Source organism: Homo sapiens, chromosome 3 (assembly GCF_000001405.40).
Source record: "Homo sapiens chromosome 3, GRCh38.p14 Primary Assembly".
Lineage (NCBI taxonomy): Eukaryota > Metazoa > Chordata > Mammalia > Primates > Hominidae > Homo > Homo sapiens.
Window position 1 is genome coordinate 11870453 of NC_000003.12, and position 21629 is coordinate 11892081.

General features: G+C 40.5%; 2 pseudogenes; one reads left to right on the forward strand and one right to left on the reverse strand.

The window, feature by feature from the left end:
- FANCD2P2 (FANCD2 pseudogene 2) lies at window positions 843-20745 on the forward strand (annotated as a pseudogene).
- CYCSP12 (CYCS pseudogene 12) lies at window positions 8065-8736 on the reverse strand (annotated as a pseudogene).

Genomic DNA, 21629 nt, shown 5'->3' on the forward strand with positions numbered 1-21629 from the left:
ACAATAGGTTTTTGACCTGGACTTCAGCCTCCCAAAGTGCTGGGATTATAGGCGTGAGCCATCGGGCCTGGCTGAGACACATTTTAATAGCATATATCCAGAGAGGGAGGACTGTATTTGTGGAAAATGTTTATGAAAGCAGGTAAAGAACAGTGTCTTATTTTGTATTTTTACATATATTCTTCCTCTTATTAACAATGTTAAAACGCATTTGAATGGAACTTTTAAAATGAAGATTTGTAAAAATTTTTTTTTTTAATTTAAAGTAGAGCAATAGTTGCGGCTGACATGAGGTAGCTGTTGCAGTTGAGAATATAATTCTGTTATGGCTATGGTGGAGTGACAGTATAAAGGGAGAATGGCATCTAAGACATTTTTGAATCCTCTTAATGTCTTAGAGACACTGTCATGATCCATGTTTGCTTGGAAACATGCAAGTCTAGCCTGTACTATATGGAGAAAACCTTTAAAGCTTTTAGCTCCTTGAGTGCCATCTTTTTGAGGAATTTCAACTGATCTTGTACAACCTCAACCTAAAGGGTAAAATTTAACCCATATGGGAAAAAGAAAGAGGAAAACTACGCCAAGGAGCAAAATCAGGAGGGCTTAGGTAGAGCTCACTGATAAACTGTGGGAAATAGGTCAAGACGGGATGGTCAAGTTACACTGGCATATTCCTAAATCTCCTGAAGCCAGCATTAATGAAAACTAGATAATAGATGATGGGATTGGGTTGATTGTGATTTTAACAAAGAAGAGATTGGAGAGGCCTTGGGGGTGAATCCCTTTAGAATGGCCATCCATATTTTGTTTTACACTGTCCTGTTGACTCTCCCCTGTATAGGAAGTGGTTGGTGCCTTAGTGACCCACATCTGCAGTGGGAATGAAGCTGAAGTTGATACTGCCTTAGATGTCCTTCTAGAGTTGGTAGTGTTAAATCCATCTGCTATGATGATGAATGCTGTCTTTGTAAAGGTATCTTATTGGCTTCTTGTACTTTAGATATTGAATACTATAATTGGTGGGAGGTGGTGGGAAGGAGGTGAGATGATGGGCAAGTAATATAAATAAAAAGTGACTATTCTATCTATGTGTTAATTGATTCAGCAAACATTTCTTTATATCTAACCCACAGACTAAGCTCTATTCTGGGTGCTGTGAATGTAAAGTAGGTCCTTGCCTTTGATGTTAAAGACAAAGACACATAAGCAAGTCACTATAAATACAACATGGTGAATTCTCTGGTAAAGTACTATAGATACAACAGAGCAAGAATAATTAAAGTTAGCCTGGGAAGCTGGAGAGTTCTTCAAAGAGGTGATTTGAGTGATTGCTGAAGGATGGGAATGACTGACAAGAGAAAGTATGGGAAGTGCGTTCTAGGCAGAGAAGAGTTTGAGCAGAAGCAAACTGGTGCCCAAGTCAGTGGTGTGACTGAGGAATGAGAAGCAAACAAGCATGACTGGAGAATAGGATATATATGGAGAGGAGTGATGGGAGGCAAGGCTGGTAAGACATAGGACAGGCCCGTGTTGCAAAGAGTTTCAAATAACATGCTAAAGAGTTTCAATTTTATTTTCTAGACAATAGGGAGCTATTAGCAGTTTTTACATAGAGTTGACCTAATCTACTCAGCGTTGAGAGATAACTCAGTAGGCTATATGATGGGTGGATTGGAGACCACTGAAATGGTCTAAGGGAGTGAGAGTAAGGGCCAGATTTTGGTCACAGGAATGTAGAAGAAATGATGGTTTAAGAGACAATTTGGTGTTAGAATTAACATGACTTGGTGACTGTTAATATGTGGCAGTGAGAAACAGAAAAACTAGGTCCGAGTTTTTTCATCTTAGGAAACTAGATAAATAGTCGTGCCATTTTCTGAGACCAGGAGGGGCGTGCATCTTCTGTAGGAAGTATGATGAGTTCACTATGGGATAGCCACGTGTAGGTGGTTAGTGGATAGTTGGAAATTCTGGTTTGGAACCCTGTGGGGCACCCTTTGGTGGAAGATTTAGTTTGGGTGTTCAGAACCGTATAAATGTGAGCTCAACTGAGGCAATTTTGAGGCAGAAGACCGTAGAAGCTTAGAAGAGCACAGACATTTTGAGACAGTTAAAGTTTAAGTGGCAGACGGAAGCAAATGTCCGCAGAAGGAAAATGAGAAAACTAGAAGATGAATAATGTGAGCTTGAAGGATGTCAGGTAGCAAAAGCCCAGGAATGAGTTTCAAGAGTGAGGGATTTATCTCCAGTGATGGATACTGTAGAGGTTGAAGATGGAGCAGAGGCTATTGGCTTTGGCAATTAGGATACCCCTGGTAACCTCTGAGAGAACAATGTTAATTGAATTATAAGGGTGGAAGCCAGAGAGCAGTAACTTGAAGACTTGGGGAATACAGTCAATGTCAAGAAGCATCAAGGAGGAGAGAATAAGAAAAGTAGCTTGAGAGAGAAGCTGGTTGCGAGGGAGATATTTTTTAGATGAGGAGGTTTGAGATTGCTTGTAGGCTGACAGAAAGGATTCAATAGAGAGGCAGAAATGGAAAATTTTAAAAATTGTTAGAAGTTTACAAAGCTGTTTTACTACTTTATCCTCAGACAAACCATGAAAGGTAGTATAGCTATTATTATCGCCCTGTTACAGACGAGAAAAGCTGAGACATTTCCCAAGGTCACAAAGTAAATAGTTTCCTTGTGACTCCTTCCAGATCTGTAGAGAAAGGAGAAATAATTTATGGAGTAGAAGCTGGGGAGGGATGATACGGCAAGGAATAGTAAAGACATAACTTTTTATAGCATATTGTTTTCACTGAAAAAAAGGGAAAGGTGGAGGTAAAGAATACGGAGAACTGGGAGGTGCATTAGAATGACTAAGCAGTAGATGATTAAAGCCCAGGATTGTGGTTCAGAGTGAAGAGGATAAAGAAAACTTTATCTTTCCTGATAGTTAGTTCCTAGTCGCTGTTAATAAGACATTTAGAAAGTTGTAAGAGTTTTCTCAGTTTATATCCAGCCTATCAAACCTCTGGGCTCTGAGCATAGCTTTTGGAACTTAAGCTTTTAAGAGAGCTAAAAAGTTTAGATACCTGGCTATCTATGTATGCCTCTCTTACAGGGATTTTAATTTTTTGATTTTTAAGGGAAAAAATGTTAGCTGCCAGCCTCACTGTTGGCATCATTTTTTCTGCAGGGCATTTTAGATTATCTGGATAATATATCCCCTCAGCAAATACGAAAACTCTTCAATGTTCTCAGCACACTGGCATTTAGTAAACAGAATGAAGCCAGCAGCCACATCCAGGTAAGAGGCAATATGTTGGGAAAGATTTTTTTTTTTTTTTTTGATGGAATCTCCCTCTGTTGCCCAGGCTAGAGTGCAGTGCATGATCTCGGCTCACTGCAACCTCCATCTCCTGGGTTGACACAATTGTCTTGCCTCAGCCTCCCGAGTAGCTGGGACTACAGGCGTGCGCCACCACACCCAGCTAATTATTTTGTATTTTTAGTAGAGAAGGGGTTTCACCATGTTAGCCAGGATGGTCTCGATCTCCTGACCTCGGGATCCGCCCACCTTGGCCTCTCAAAGTGTTGGGATTACAGACGTGAGCCACTGAGCCTGGCCTTTTTTTTTTTTTTTTTTTTTTTTTTTTTTTTGTGACACGGAGTCTAGCTCTGTCACCCACACTGGAGTGCAGTGGCATGATCTCAGCTCCTGGGTTCAAGCAATTCTCCTGCCTCAGCCTCCCAAGTAGCTGGGACTACAGGCACATGCCACTGCACCTAGCTAATTTTAGTATTTTTAGTGTTTTGTATTTTTAAACCTCTTTACTTGAAATTTGCTGGAAAAAAATAAGCAAATGATAGATTTGCTAGTGTGTATTAGTGGAAATGGAGTACACAGCCATAGTTCCAGCATTTTTTTAATTCTTACCACAAACATTAAGTGCCTATTCTGTGCCAGGCACTGATATATTAGATCCTCTGCCCTCAAAAAGCTTTGTCTATTAGGGTAGAGATGGGTCTGGGATCAGCTAACCATGAAACTGTTCAGGTTCTGAGTGCAGTGGGGACACAGAATTGCCTTGTTTTCTAAGAAACATCTCCATCTAATGTGAACTTCACATGGGCTTGTTTTTGGTTTGTGGACACCATTCGCTGAAAAAGCCAGGCTGTAATCCCAGCACTTTGGGAGGCCAAGGCAGGCGAATCACATGTGCCAGGAGTTTGAGACCAACCTGGGCACCATGGTGAAACCCTGTCTCTACAAAAACATACAAAAATTAGCCAGGTGTGGTGGCACACACCTGTAATCCTAGCTACTCAGGAGGCGGAGGTGGGAGGATCCATTGAGCCCAGGGAGTTGAGGCTACAGTGAGCCATGATTGTGCCACTGCTCTCCAGCCTGGGCAACAGAATGAGACTCTATCTCAAAATAAATAAATAAATAAATAAATAAATAAATAAATAAATAAATAAATAAATAAAATAAAATAAAACAAAAGGAAGAGATTAGATTGGAATCATAACTTGTAACTCATTTGTATCTTTAGTGCTACCTTATGGCAGTAATTCATACTGGACTGTGACTTTGAACAACCAGCATATTTTTTTATCTCCCCTCCCACCCCTTTCTTGGATCCCCAATCAACACATTTTTTTAATTAAAAAATTTTTGGACTAGGTAATATACATGTGTCATACAAAATTCAAAACATATAGAAGGGTATCCAGTGAAAAATAACTCTCACTTCTTCTCAGTCCTCTAGGCACCTGGTTTGTCTCCTACAGGGGCAATCACTTTATAAGCTTCTGAGATGTTCTGAGAATTTACAAATTTGTATTTACCTGTAGTTTCCTTTCCCCTCTTGTTCTACATCTTACCTTCTGCATTTAGCAGTTTATTTGGGAGATTGCTTCTAATCAGTAATATAAAGCTACTTCATTATTTTATTTTATTTTTGAATTTTGATAAAATACACATAACATAAAATATACCATTTAAATTGTTTTTAAGGGTACAATTTAGTAGCAGTAAGTATATTCACAATGTTATACAACCATTACCACTATCCATTTCTAGAACTTTCTGATCATCCCAAACAAACTTTGTACCCATTAGGCAATAATTTGCCATCTTCCTCTCCCGACCTCCTGATAATCACTAATCACATTCTGTCTATGGATTTGTTCATTCTAGATGCTTCATATAAATGGAATCATACAATATGTATCTTTTTGTGCCTTGCTTATTTCACTTTAGCATAATATTTTCAAGGTTCATGTATGTTGTGGCATGCATCAGAACTTTATTCCGTATTACAGCTGTAATAATTCCATTCTTTGTTTTTGTTGTTGTTGTGTTTTGTTTTGTTTTGCTTTGTTGAGTCGGAGTCTCACTCTGTCGCCCAGGCTGGAGTGCATTGTCGTGATCTCAGCTCACTGCAACCTCTGCCTCCTGGGTTCAAGCAATTCTCTATCCTCAGCCTCCTGAGTAGCTGGGATTACAGGTGTGCACCATCACGCCTAGCTAATTTTTGTATTTTTAGTAGAGATGTGGTTTCACCATTTTGGCCAGGCTGGTCTCCTGACCTCAGGTGATCCACCTGCCTCGGCCTCCCAAAGTGCTAGGACTACAGGCGTGAGCCACTGCGCCCGGCCCCCATTCTTTGTTTATACCACATTTTGTTTATCCATTCATCCACTGATGGACACTTGAGTTGTTTCCACCTTTTGGTCATTTGAATAATGTTGCTGTGATCATTGGTTTACAAATATTTGTTTGAGTCCCTGTTTTCAGTTCTTTAGGGTATATATCTTAAGCATGGAATTGCTGGATCATATGATGACCATATATTTACCATTTTGAGAAACCACCAAACTGCTTTCCATAGCAGCTGCATAATTTTACATTCCCACCAACAATGTTTGTAGGTTCCAATTTCTCCATATCCTTGCCAACATTTATTTTCCATTCTTAAAAAATTTTGTTTTAATTTTAATTAATTAATTTATTTCTTAATAAATAAAAAATTATTTTTTTTAGATAGGGTCTTGCTCTGTCACCCAGGCTGCAGTGCAGTGGTGCGATCATAGTTCACTGCAGCCTCAAACTCCTGGGCTCAAGCAGTCTTCCTGCCTCAGCCTCCTGAGTACCTGGGACTACAGGTACCTGCCACCTCTCCTGGCCCTATTTTTTAATTATAATCATCCTGATGAGTACAAAGTGGTATCTTATTGTGGTTTGATTTGCATTTCCTAATGACTAATGATGTTAAGCATCTTTTCATGTACTTCTTGGCCATTTCTATATTTTTGTAGAAATGTCTATTCAAGTCCTTTACCCATTTTTTTTTGTTTGTTTGTTTTTGAGATGGGGTCTCACTCTGTCACACATGTTGGAGTGCAGTGGTGTGATCTTGGCTTACTGCAACCTCCACCTCCCAGGCTTAAGCGATCCTCCCACGTCAGCCTCCTGAGTAGCTGGGACCACAGGTGTGCACCACCATACTCAGCTAATTTTTTGTATTTTTGGTAGACATGAGGTTTCGTCATGTTACCCAGGCTGGTCTTGAACTCTTGAACTCAGGAGATCCACCCACCTCTGCCTCCCAAAGTGCTGGCATTACAGGTATGAGCCACTGTGCTCAGCCCTTTGCCCATTTTTAAACTGGGTTTTTGTCATTGTTGAGGTATAGGAGTTATTTATATATTCTGGATATTAATCCCTTATCAGATATATGATTTGCAAATATTTTCTCCCATTCTATGGGTTTTCACTCCCTTGATAGTGTCCTTTGATGCACTAAAGTATTTAGTTTCAATAAAGTCAAATTTATCTACTTTTTTTTTTTTTTTTTTTTGTGATGGAGTCTTGCTCTGTCACCAGGCTGGAGTGCAGTGGTGCGATCTCAGCTCACTGCAACCTCCACCTCCTGAGTTCAAGCGATTCTCCTGCCGCAGCCTACTGAGTAGCTGGGACTACGGGCGTGCACCACAACGCCCAGCTAATTTTTATATTTTTAGTAGAGATGGGGTTTCACCATGTTGGCCAAGATGGTCTTGATCTCTTGGCCTCACGATCTGCCTGCCTCGGCCTCCCAAAGTGCTGTGATTACAGATGTGAGCCACCACACCTGGCCTTATCTATTTTTTTTTTCATCTGTGGTTTTCTTTTTAATTATCTTAAGTCTTATGATCACACATAATGTTAAAATTTGTGTATATCTCCTCTACTTTAATCCTTTTAAGTTGGCAAAAGCACTATTTTCAATCACAAATACACAGCAGTTTCAGTTTTATGTTTCTGAATGGCTCCTTTAAAGACAATTCTAAATTATAACTTAGTTTGAGTTAGATCGTAAAGAATTCAAGAGTGAAGTTTAACTTGCTACTATTTTAAAAGCATGTGACTTTATAGATCATCTATAAAATGTGAGAAGTGTTAAATAATCTTTGACATTACACATAAACCACACTAAAATGCCTTTCAGTAAGTTAAAGAGACCATTTTAAATACAGGGAATTCTAATTAGATTGGCATAGTTAAGGCCAAAAATATAAACTAGACATTGCTCCCTTATTTATCTTCCACCCTTACCTTTAAGAGGCAAATGAACACAAAACACAGGTGAATCTTGCTTGGTTCTGAGACAATGAAGGAATTTCCTCAGTATTTAAATATATTCACATAACGAGTTATATAAATCTACATATAAAATCAGTCCTCATTAAGTTTTTGGTTTTGTTTTGTTTTGTTTTATTTTGTTTGTTTTGAGATGGGGTCTTGCTCTGTCGCCCAGGCTAGAGTGCAGTGGCACAATCTCAGCTCACTGCAAACTCTGCCTTCTGGGTTCAAGCAATTCTCCTGTCTCAGCATCCCTAGTAGCTGGGATTACAGGTGCCCGCCACCATGCCCAGCTAATTTTTGTATTTTTAGTAGAGACAGAGTTTCACCTGATGTTGGCCAGGCCAGTCCCGAACTCTTGACCTCAAGTGATCTGCCCACCTCGGCCTCCCAAAATGCTGGGATTACAGGTGTGAGCTACTGCACCTGGCCTCCATTAAGTTTTAAGATAGCACTCACCATCTTTGTGAAAAGTTGAACATTACTAAGGAAGTCTAATCTTATCTTTAGAAGGGGTAAACAATGATAGCATTTACTGAATTGGAATTACTATTAAAATTCAAAAACAACATATTCATTTAACAACAAGCCAGTCTTAGTTTTAAATCATGAGTACCCAACAAAATATTCTGTCAGTCATTCATGATCTGAATTCCTGTGTATGAGATCTATTAAAGTATGGAACACATAAAAAAGTCATGAGACATTTGTTTTGTAATAAATAAGGCAGTGGCCAATCATTACTCATTAGTAGCTTTTTTTTAGATAAGCTATAAAGTCTGCCCTGTCTGCCTTCTTAATGCTGGCAAAGATCAGTTTTCTTCCAGGGATGTACTTCTTGGGATTCTCCAAATCCTCCATCAGTGAGTGTATCCTCTCCCCAGGTGATGCCTTTGTTCTTCTTGGCGTCTGTGTAAGAGAATCCAATGGCCCAAAGAGACCATGGAGATTAGGCCCAGTCTTGTGCTTGCCTCTCTTTTCCACCGTGTGGCACTGGGCACACTTCTGAACAAAAATCTTCTTGCCTTTCTCAGCATCACCCATATTTAATTCTCTTTTTCATCGCTGGCGCCACAAAGGTTGCCACTCCAAAGCTGTACGACCCACTCTCTATCAATTTGTTTTCTTGTGTTGCTTGTCCTTTTGGTTGTCATGCTTAAGATACCGTTGCTGAATTCAAGGTCATGAAGATTTTCTTTTATTTTCTTCTAAGAGAAAGTTTTAGCTCTTAAATTTAGGTCTTTGATCCACTTTTTGTTAATTTTTGTGTATAGTGTATTGTAAGGATTTAACTTCATTCTTTTGCACATGGATATCCAGTTTTTCCAGTGCCATTTGTTGAAAAGATGGTCCTTTCACCATTGAAATGATTTTGGAACCCTTGTCAAAAATCAATTTGTCACATATATGAAGGCTTATCTTTGAACTCTGTATTCTATTTCATTTGTCCATATGTCTGTCCTTCTGCCATCACCACACTGTTTTGACTACTGTAGCTTTGTATTAATATTGAAATCAGGAAGTGTGAGCCCTCCAACTTTGTTCTTTTTCAAGGTTTTGGCAATTTGGGGTCCCTTGAAATTCCATGTGAATTTTGGTATGAATCTTTCTATTTCTGCAAAACATGTTGTGGGACTTTGATAAGGATTGCATTGAATTACTTTGAATGGTATTTTCATCTTAACAATACTGAGTGTCTTCCAATCCACCAAGACAATAGCTCTTTCCATTTACTTATGTATTTAAAGTTTTTCAGCAATGTTTATTTTATTTTATTTTATTTTATTTTATTTTATTTTATTTTATTTTATTTTATTTTATTTTATTTTATTTCGAGACAGTGTCTGGCTCTGTCACCCAGGCTAGAGTACAGTGATGGGATCTTGGCTCACTGTATTCTTGACTTCCCAGGCTCAGGTGATCCTCTCACCCCAGCCTTCCGCGTAGCCGGGACCACAGGCATGCACAAGCACAGCTGGCTAATTTTTGTATTTTCTATAGAGATGAGGTTTTGCCATGTTACCCAGGCTGGTCTTGAACTCCTGGGTTCAAGCAATCTACCCGCCTCAGCCTCCCAAAGTGTTAGGGTGACAGGCATGAGCCACCACGGTTAGCCTTGCCTCCATGTTTAAATCTGTACCTAAGTATTTTATTCTAATTCATTATTTTAGCTGAGCAGTCATCAACATTATGATAATTTTCATATCCTTATAGAAATAATAACAATTAAAGCTATTATTATTGAATGTCTATCATGTGCCAGGCACTGTTCTAGAAGTTTTTTATAATTTATCTCTAATCCTTAAAACAACTTTCCGCATTTCACAGATGTAAAAATTAAAACTTGGAGAGATGAAATGACTTGCTAAAGACACACAGGGCTGGGTGTGGTGGCTCACACCTGTAATCCCAGCACTTTGGAAGGCCAAGGTGGGTGGATCACCTGAGGTCAGGAGTTCAAGACCAGCCTGGCTACCATAGTGAAACCCCGTCTCTACTAAAAATACAAAGTTAGCCAGGTGTGGTGCCAGGCACCTATAATCCCAGCTACCTGGGAGGCTGAGGGAGAATTGCCTGAACGCAGGAGGTGGAGGTTGCAGTGAGCTGAGATTGCGCCATTGCACTCTAGCCTGGACAATAAGAGCTAAACTCTGTCTCAAAACAAACAAACAAACAAACAAACAAACAAAAAACAGTAAATGATAGAACCCTTTATAGTCTGGCTGTGTGGCTCAATATCCATACCTTCTTTTGCTGTGCAATTCCAGCGTTACCATCTTTCTTCATTATCTCATTGCAGGATGACATGCACTTGGTGATAAGAAAGCAGCTCTCTAGCACCATATTCAAGTACAAACTCATTGGGATTTTTGGTGCTGTCACCATGGCTGGCATCATGGTGGCAGACAGGTACACATGGAGATTCTGACTTCTGTGGTTTAAGATCAGTTAATCTTGCCAACTAACAGTGTTACATCGCATAGACATCATTTTAACAGTAGACGTTACAACTGTAAGAGAAATGAGCAGGCCAGGCTCGGTGGCTCACACCTGTAATCCCAGCACTTTGTGAGGCCGAGGTGGGCGGATCGCCTGAGGTCGGGAGTTTGGGACCAGCCTGACCAACATGGAGAAACCCTGTCTCTACTAAAAATACAAAATTAGTTGGGTGTGGTGGCGCATGCCTGTAATCCCAGCTACTCGGGAGGCTGAGGCAGGAGAATCACTTGAACCTGGGAGATGGAGGTTGCGGTGAGCCGAGATTGCGCCATTGCACTCCAGCCTGGGCAACAAGAGCGAAACTCAAAAAAAAAGTAAGAAAAAAGAGAAAATAAAAATATGTATAACAATCTTTTGCTCTAATCTGTATTTTGTATGGACAAAATAAATACTCTTCTCTGCCTTCATGTACCTTTATCTTTACCCTACCCTAGGGAAGTCAGAATTCTTAAACTTATTGGAAATTGTTACAAAATATTACAAAAGTGAAATTAAAATTCTTTGTTTTTAGAAGTGGATCATCTAGTTTGACCCAAGAGGTAGCCAACCTGAGTGATGAGCAGTGCACACATGTGAGTTCTTCTCTAAATATACAAAAAAAAGTTAGCCAGGCGTGGTGGCAGCCACCTGTAATCCTAGCTACTTGGGAGGCTGAGGCAGAGGATTGCTTGAACTTGGGAGGCAGAGGTTGCAGTGAGCCGAGATCATGCCACTGCACTCCAGCCTGGGCAACAAAGCGAGACTCCATCTCAAGAAAAGGCAAAAAAAAAAAAAAAAAAAAAGAAGAAGAAGAAAAAGAAGTTTTACTGAACTCCTGTCTTTGTGGTTTTCTGATACTTGGAAACTACTGGCTTGGGTTGCATTTTTTTTTTTTGAGATGGAGTCTCAACTCTGCCACCCAGGCTGGAGTGCAGGGGTGCCTCCCAGGTTCAAGCGATTCTGCCGCCTCAGCCTTCCAAGTAGCTGGGATCACAGGCATGCACCATCACGCCCAGCTAATTTCTGTGTTTTTGGTAGAGACGGGGTTTCACCATGTAGGGGTTTCGCCATGTTGCCCAGGCTGGTCTCAGACTCCTGATCTCAGGTGATCCGCCCCCCTCAGCCTCCCAAAGCACTGGGATTACGTATGTGAGCCACCATGCCCGGGCCGGTTGCATTTATTTCTATATCCATTCAATCTCTCCAATTAAATTATAAAGTCTTAGCAAGAAAGGTATGCCATATTTATGGCATAACACTTTGGTTGAAGCATGGGGACAAATAAGTGTATAACTGGAAAGTGGGACATAAAGCTAGTTCAGGCAGGGCACGGTGGCTCACGCCTGTAATCCCAGCACTTTGGGAGGCTGAGGCAGGAGGATCACTTGAGGTAAAGAGTTTGAGACCAGCCTGGCCAACAGGGTGAAATCTCATCTCTAATGAAAGTACAAAAAAATTACCCATGCATGGTGGCAGGCGCCTGTAGTCCCAGCTACTCAGGAGGCTGGGGCAAGAGAATTTATTGAATCCGGGAAGCGGCGGTTGCAGTGAGCCAAGATCGCTCCACTATACTCAGCCTGGATGACAGAGCGAGACTCTATCTCAAAAGGAAAAAAGAAAAAGCTAGTTGAGAGAGAAAACAGAGAGCCTTGCATGTAAAGCAATACATTTTTATTTCATTCTTTAGGCAGAGGTATTCCTTAAGGGTTTCTTAGCATGGAAATGGCAAAATCGAAGCTTTACTTTAGAAAAATTAATCTGGCTGCAGTGTCTGGCAGATTGGAAAAGGGATGATATCAGAAAGAGACAGACGGGTCAGAACATTCAGGAAAACTTCAAGTGAGACATAGAGCTTTGCCAGTAAAATCAGAAAGTGAAAAAACAGTCTTGAATGGGGCGAGTGGAGTTTGGGAAAGATTGGCCGCCCAAGGTTTAAACCATTCTTCCTCTTTGCTCCAGGTGACCTCCTTGTTGCAGTTGGTTCATTCCTGCAGTGAGCAGTCTCCTCAGGCCTCTGCACTTTACTATGATGAATTTGCCAACCTGATCCAACATGAAAAGCTGGATCCAAAAGCCCTGGTAAAGGCCAATTGTCTTTTCTTAAAGCAATAAAGCATGAGAGCTGCTTTACTACACTCTTCAAGTCTTCTGTTGCAGTGTGAAAATAGATCATCCTGTGACCTCTCCTAAATTCTAACTGGGAAAGGCTTTTCTGCCCTACCCTGCCTCACGGCTCTTCTCTGAGGCCTCCTTCACTTAATAACAATCATAATAGTAAAGAAGAGATGGACTTTGTTAATGATGATGGCTATTATCTGTCTGAGAGCCCTGTTCTGTGCTAGGCCTTGTGATAAGTGCTTTTCGTGCACTCTCTCTTTTCTACTTCACAATAGTGAGATATTTATTATTACTTTCTTTTTAGAAATGAGGGAACTGAGACTTAGAAAGGTTAAGAGTAATTTATCTAGGGCTGTACAGCAAGTACACTCTGCACTGCCCTTTTTGTTTGTTTGCTTCCTGAAGGAATGGGTTGGGCATACCATCTGTAATGATTTCCAGGATGCCTTCGTAGTGGACTCCTGTGTTGTTCCGGAAGGGTAGGTATTTTTTACCTGCTGGCTTGGTTGTACTGGTGAAGTTACATCAATTCTGTCAGTAGCTGATACAAACTTCAGAATACCCTTCACCTCAGCCACGGCTGCCCAGTCCCACAGCTTCTTTCCTTCCAACCCCAGCACCCCTGCACCCTTAGCTCCAAAATTCCTAAAAGGTTCACTGTTTGTTCTTCTAATTTCTCCCCATGATGTTGTGTTTGAAATTGGTTTGCTTTAGTGGTTTTCCCTGTAGCCCTGCATATTCCTGAGCTGCAGCATCAGATTCTGGTTTTTCTCTGCAGTGACTTTCCATTTCCTGTGAAAGCACTGTACGGACTGGAAGAATACGACACTCAGGATGGGATCGCCATAAACCTCCTGCCGCTGCTGTTTTCTCAGGACTTTGCAAAAGATGGGGGTCTGGTGACCTCACAGGAATCAGGCCAAAAGTCAGTATAGTTTTTCTTTTCTAAACCTGTTAGTGTTCTGAATGTTCACGGGGAATTCCACAGTTCTTGGTGGGGAAGTTGAGTCAAAAAAGTTTCTCTCGGGACAAACGGTATTTGGAGAGGTTAGGGAGAATGGGGCAGATTCCTTGTTTTTTCTTGGATCCTTGGCTTGAGATTTATATTGCCTTGTGTGAGCCAACAGATATTCTAAGACTACTTTCTCTTCTGTTCCTTATTTTTTCCCTCCCTTGAACATCCTTTGCTACCTCTGTGTCTCTTACCTTCTCTTTCTATCTTATTTCTGGTTCTCCTAACACGTGGACTTTCACTCCTGATACCTCTGCCTTCCTACAATTCAGCTCATTATATTTATTTTCTTAATGGAGCATCCATTAAGTTCCTTGCCATTTTTTTCTTAAAAGTAGACATTTGTTTTGAGGAAAATTCTTAATAAGTTGGTGGCCGGGCATGGTGGCTCATGCCTGTAATGCCAGCACTTTGGGAGGCTGAGGCGGGTGGATCACTTGAGGCCAGGATTTGAGACCAGCCTGGCCAACATGGGAAAACCCTGTCTCTACTAAAAGTACAAAAATTAGCTGGGCATGGTGGCATGCGCCTGTAATCCCAGCTACTCAGGAGTCTGAGGCAGGAGAATCGCTTGAACCTGGGACGCAGAGGTTGCAGTGAGCCGAGATCGTGCCACTGCACTCCAGCCTGGGTGACAGAGCAAGACTGTCTCAAAAAAAGAAGTTGTGCTCCCTGTGTATGTGGAGTAATATCTCCCTATGTATGTGGAGTAATACACCTATGAAGTGTGGTCTAGAAATTTATTTTTCCTTCTCAGATTGGTATCTCCACTGTGCCTGGCTCCGTATTTCCAGTTACTGAGACTTTATGTGGAGAGACAGCATAATGGAAACTTGGAGGAGATTGACAGTCTACTAGGTATGGGATGAAGTCATCAGATCCTTTCTTCTTTATACTCTTCCTTTGGTAAACTTAGGGAAAGGGCAGATCAGTACATGGTATATATGGGGAGGAATTTTCTAACTTCAGCAGAATAGTTTATCATTGGAATTCCAAAGACAAAATAGTACAAACAGAATCCCATTATGTTAACAAATCAATTGTTGCAAAAACTTTCTAATTATATTTGTTGATTGCTATATGATATGCAAATATTTTAATCAGATCTTGGCCTTCAAATATGAGTTAAAGGGGAAAGTAAGTAGCAAGGAGAGCTAGCTCCAGAGGAAACCTCCAGGTTTTATTGGCTTGCACTAAAGGTAGTTGGAAATGTTTGTTCTCTCTCAGATTGTCCTATATTCCTAACTGACCTGGAGCCTGGAGAGAGGTTGGAGTCCATGTCTGCTAAAGAGCGTTCATTCATGTGTTCTCTCATATTTCTTATTCTCAGCTGGTTCCGAGAGGTGAGCAGAGTTAATAGGATATTTCACTTATTGTGCATAGTTTTTCTCAAAACTATTTTCTTAGTTCCCAGAAGACTCCCTAGAAGTCCTCACCAAGCACTAACCCCCGTGTGCTTCTCTAGCTGTTATGTCCCACCACTCCCCAGTTATATGAACCTCCGTAGGTAGCCAAATGAGAATACTTAGAATTCACTTCACATTGCCCATGCTTTATTTTCTCCAAGCTGCCTTCTGCCTAGAATGACCTTCTCACCTTCTTCACTGTGGAACTACTGTTCGTCCTGGCACAGGCATATGCCTACTGTCTTGATTCAGTGAGTGGTGGTAGTTTCCCTCCCATTAGAATGTATTTGTGTTTGGTGATAATGACAATGATGGCAACATCTTATATCTCTACCTCACTGTCTTCCTCTCACATATTATTTCAGGAATGTTTGTGCACTTGAATGAGCTTATTTGATTACCACATCTCTATTATGATGTGGGCAGGATAGGGATTGTCCTCATTTTACACATACTGAATTTCAAGTACAGGGAGTTCAAAGTCAATGAAAAAACTTTAAGTACTTACACTGTACCAAGTGCTGGACTCATTTCTTTATGTAGAAATACTTAGAAAGATTAAAGACTCAGCCAAGGTCACACAGTAAGTAGCAGTATAGAACTTGTTTCACCAAAGTATGTGCTCTCTGGCTATTCCGCCTTGTAACATAACTAGTAATAAGCAAAACTAGGATCAAAAGTCAAATCTCCTATTTTTTTCTTTTCTTTTTCTTTGAGACAGAGTCTTGCTCTGTCACCCAGGCTAGAGTGCAGTGGCCCAATCTCGGCTCACTGTAACCTCCGCCTCCCAGGTTCAAGCAATTCTCTCCTGCCCCAGCCTGTCCAGTAGCTGGCAGTACAGACATGTGCCACCATGCCCAGTTAATTTTTATATTTTTGGTAAAGATGGGCTTTCTCCATATTGGCCAGACTGGTCTCAAACTCCTGGCCTCAAGTGATCCTCCTGCCTCAGCCTCCCAAAGTGCTAGGATTACAGGCGTGAGCCACTGTGCCTGGCTGAATCTCCTATATTTTGGCCCAGAGATTTTTTTTCTCTACACCACCTTGCTGAGGACACTTCTATTATAGACTAAACTTAAAGATCCTGCTGTTCATAGACATCTCTCAGCTCTGGATAAATAATACAAACAAGGTTAAAATCTGAACATTTGAAAGTATGAGAATGTAATTGTACTTTGCAGATTGTGAATGCCTTCTGCCATGAAACATCACCTGAGATGAAGGGGAAGGTGCTCACCCGGTTAAAGCACATTGTAGAACTGCAAATAATCCTGGAAAAGTACTTGACAGATGAGGGAAGTGTCCTATACTGGTAGTCCTACTAGGACAGTAGTGAGGTGATAAAGCACTCAGCTTTCCCTGATAACCAGAACCAGACAAAGACACATCAAAAAAAGAAAATAGAAGCCAATATCCCTGATGAACATTGATACAAAAATCTTAACAAAATACTAGCAAACCTAATTCAGCAACACATTAAAAAGATTAGCCGGGCGCAGTGGCTCACACCTATAATCCCAGCACTTTGGGAGGCCAAGGCGGATGGATCACTTGAGATCAGGAGTTTGAGACCAGCCTGGCCAACATGGTGAAACCCCGTCTGTACTAAAAACACAAAAATTAGCTGGGCATTGTGGCACGCGGCTGTAGTCCCAGCTACTCAGGAGGCTGAGACAGGAGAATCACTTGAACCTGGGAGGCAGAGGTTGCGGTGAGCCAAGATCGCACCACTGAACTCCAGCCTGGGCGACAGAGCGAGATTCCTATCTCAAAAAAAAAAAAAAAATTATTCCTCATGACCAAATGGGATGATTTATCCTAGGGATGCAAGGATTGTTCAACATACGTTAATCAATGTGATACATCATATCAGCAAAATGAAGGACAAAAACCACATGATATTTAAATTGATGCTAAATTTTTTTTAATAAAACTCAACATCCCTTCATCAAAACTGGGTATAGAAGGAACACACCTCAACACTCTAAAAACCATATATGACAGACCCATAGCTACTATTAAATGGAACAGAGAAAAACTGAAAGGCTTTCCTCTAAGATCTGGAACTAGAAAGGATACCCACTTATATAATACCACTATTATACAACATAGTGTTGAAAGTCCTAGCTAGAACAATTAGACAAGAGAAAGAAAGGGCATCCAAATTGGAAAGGAAGATGTTAAATTATCCTTGTTTGCAGATGACATGATCTGATATTTGGAAAAGCCTAAAGACTCCACCAAAAAACTATTAGATAAACTCAGTAAAGTTGCAAGATACAAAGTCCTCATATAAAAACGAGTAGCATTTCTGTATGCCAACAACTAACAATCTGAAAAAGAAATCAAGAAAGTAATCCACTTACAATAGCTGCAAATAAAATAAACAATAGTTACAAATAAAATATCTAGGAATAAACTTAACCAAAGAAGTGAAAGATCTCTACAATGAAAACTCTGAAACATTGATGCAAGAAATTGAAGGGCACACAAAAAAAGGAAAGATACTTCATGTTTATGGATCAGATGAATTATTATTAAGATTTCCATACTACCCAATGCAATCTACAGATTCAAGGGCAATCCCCATCAAAATACCAATGACATTCTTCACAGAAATAGAAAAAAACTTAAAATTTATACAGAACCACAGAAGACCCAGAATAGCCAAAGCTGTCCTGAGTAAAATGAATGAAACTGGAGGGATCACATTACCTGACTTCAAATTATACTACAGAGCTATAGTAACCAAAACAGCATGGTGCTGGCATAAAAACAGATGCATAGACCAATGGAACAGAAGAGAGCCCAGAAATAAATCCACACACCTACAATGAACTCATTCTCAGCAAAGGTGCCAAGAATATACATTGGGGAAAGTTGCTTTCTTCAATAAATGGTGTGGGGAAAACTGGATATCCATATGCAGAAGAATGAAACTAGACCCCTATCTCTTGCCATATACAAAAATCAAAATGGATTATGGACTTAAATCTAAGACTTCAAATTATGAAACTACTAACAACAATAACAAAAAACATTCAGAAAACTCTTCAGGACATTAGAGTGGGCAGGACATTAGAGTGGGCAAAGATTTCTTGAGGAATATCCTACAAGCACAGGCAACCAAAGCAAAAAATGGACAAATGGGATCACGTTAAGTTAAAAAGTTAAGTTTCCTTCGTCTGCATAGCAAAGGAAACACCAAAGTGAAGAGACAACCCACAGAATGGGAGAAAATATTTGCAAACTACGTATCTGACAAGGGATTAATAACTGGAATATATAAGGACAGGAAAAAAATTTTATTCGGATTGAAAAATGGGTAAAAGGTCTGAATAGACATTTCTCAAAAGAAGACATACAAACGGTGGATATATGAAAAGGTGCTCAACATCACTGAGCATCAGAGAAATGCAAATCAAAACTGCCATGTGATGTCATCTCACCCTAGTTAAGATGGCTTTTATCCAAAAGACAGGCAATAACAGATGCTGGTGAGAATATGGAGAAAAGAGAACCTTTGTACACTGTTGGTGGGAATGTCAATTAGTACAAACACTGTGGAGAACAGTTAGGATGTTCCTCAAAAAATGAAAAATAGAACCACCATATGATCCAATGCCACTGGTAGGTATATACCCAAAGAAAGGAAATCAGTATACCAAGGAGATATCTGCACTCCCATGTTTATTGCAGCACTATTCACAATAGTCAAGATTTGGAAGCAACCTATGTGCCCATCAGCGGGTGAATGGATAAAATGTGGTCCATATACACAATGGAGTACTATTCAGCCATAAAAAAGAATGAGATCCTGTTGTTTGCAACAATACAGATGGAACTGGAGGACATTATGTTAAGTGAAATAGGCCAGGCACAACATATTTTCACATATTTGCGGGAGCTGAAAATTAAAACAATATAACTCACGAATATAGAGTAGAAGGATGGTTACCAGAGGCTGGGGAGGGTAATGGTGGTTGGGGGACTGGGAGAAATGGGGGTGGTTAATGGGTTCAAAAGTATAGTTAGATAGAATGAATAAGATCTAGTTGTTTTTGTTTTTTTGAGATGGAGTCTCGCTCTGTCACCCAGGCTGGAGTGCAGTGGCACAATCTCGGCTTACTGCAACTTTCGCTCCCCAGGTTCAAGCAATTCTCCTGCCTCAGCCTCCCGAGTAGCTGGGACTGGAGGCTGCACCACCACATCTGGCTAATTTTTGTACTTTTAGTAGAGATGGGATTTCACCATGCTGGCCAGGCTGGTCTCGAACTCCTGACCTCCAGTGAGCCACCTGCCTCAACCTCCCAAAGTGCTGGGATTACAGGCATGAGCCAGCGCACCCAGCCAAGACCTAGTTTTTGATAGCACAACAGGGTGACTACAGTCAACAATAACTTACTGTACATTTTAAAATAACTAAAATAGCATAATTATATTGTTTGTAACACAAAGGATAAATGCTTGAGGTGATGGATACCCCATTTACCGATGTGATTATTATGCATTGTGTGCCTGTATCAAAATATCTCATATACTCCATAAATATATACACCTTTCCTTTTTTTTTTTTTTTTTTTCGAGACAGGGTCTTGCTTTGTCGCCCAGGCTGGAGTGCGGTGGTGCAATCTCTGCTCACTACAACCTCTGCCTCCCAGGTTCAAGCAATTCTCCTGCCTCAGCCTACCTAGTAGCTGGCATTACAGATGCCTGCCACCGCACTTGGCTAATTTTTGTATTTCTGGTAGAGGCAGGGTTTCACCGTGTTGGCCAGGCTGGTCTCGAACTCCTGACCTCAGGTGATCCACGTGCTTCGACCTCCCAAAGTGCTTGGGATTACAGGTGTGAGCCACCCCGCCTAGACACAATTTAGATTTTAAATGTCTGTTTTAGTCCTTATCTGTGTGTTAGTTATATATGATTATTTACAGTGGTTTTATGATAATTGATCATACTTAATATGATATTTCTATGTTATCTCTGGCCATTTTGCTATGGCAAAACAATGTCAGATGGCTCGAATATGTCTTTTTTTTCTCTCTCTCTCTCTTTTGAGACAGAGTCTCACTCTGTTGCCCAGGCTGGAATGCAGTGGCACGATCTTGGCTCACTTCAAGCTTCGCCTCCCGGGTTCACACCATTCTCCTGCCTCAGCCTCTCGAGTAGCTGGGACTACAGGCGACTGCCACCATGCCTGGCTAATCTTTTTTTTTTTTACTTTTATTTTTTATTTTTAGTAGAGACGGGGTTTCACTGTGTTAGCCAGGATGGTCTCGATCTCCTGACCTTGTGATCCACCTGCCTCGGCCTCCCAAAGTGCTGGGATTACAGGTGTGGGCCACTGCGCCTGGCGACTTGAATATGTCTTATAAGCATTCAGCCACACTTGGTAATTTTGGAAACCAGTTTTTAGCCAATTGAGTGATTGAATTTCAAGTCTAATGGTGGTGTGTAATTGGTACACATTGAGCTTCAGCCTGCTGTTTGTTTCAGTCGCCCCAGACTATGTCCCTCCTCTTGGAAACTTCGATGTGGAAACTTTAGATATAACACTTCATACTGTTACTGCTATTTCAGCAAAAATCAGAAAGAGAGGAAAAATAAGCAAGTATGTTATTTTCCTCTTGTCTTCTGTCTCCAAATGAACTGCATTGAATTAACCTAAAAGTTATGTGTATCATGGCATCAGTAATTGGAGCAATTGTATAACTGAACCCTTTCTTTATTAGATTTATAAATACACTGTAATTTAGGGTTATAAAATTACCTCTTCTACTGCTAAGCAGTTTCCAACAGGTTGTTTTCTGAGGGCAATGATATTTGGCAAACATGATTATTAATTACTTGAGTCACTTTTCTCTTTTTAATATAAAAGAAAGGAACCAAAAAACAGATGGCAGCAAGACATCCTCCTCTGACACACTTTCAGAAGAGAAAAATTCAGAATGTGACCCTACGCCATCTCATAGAGGCCAGATGAACAAGGTACTGGAAAGATGGGTATCCATGAAGGTTTGTGACATCCAAATGAGTTTAACAGAAACCCAGCTTTATTCTCTGCATTTTACAAAGAAAAAAAAAATAGGAAACAGTGAGTCAAAACTCTCTTAGGCCTTGGAGTAATCTCCTTAGTAGCAAAGTTCAGATTAGACTTTAGGTCCTTATTCCTGCCACACACTGGTTGACTGGTTTTTTCTAATTATTTTCTTGACTATTTTACTCCCTTTTTGGTATCCCAGCAGTACATTGAATTCTCTCTTGAGGTACTTGATTATCAGTAGTTCCCTTTTACTTTACATTTGTACTGTTCGCAGAATGAGTTTCATGTGTTTGAAATTGCCTGGACCACATGGATCCCAATTATTTCTGTTGATCAGCCACCATTTATTGTATATTTATTAGGTATAGTTTCTGTAAGAGCCCAAGTTTCATATTAATACTACATTTAATAAAGGAGGAAACTAAGACCCAGGGAGGGCAAGTGACT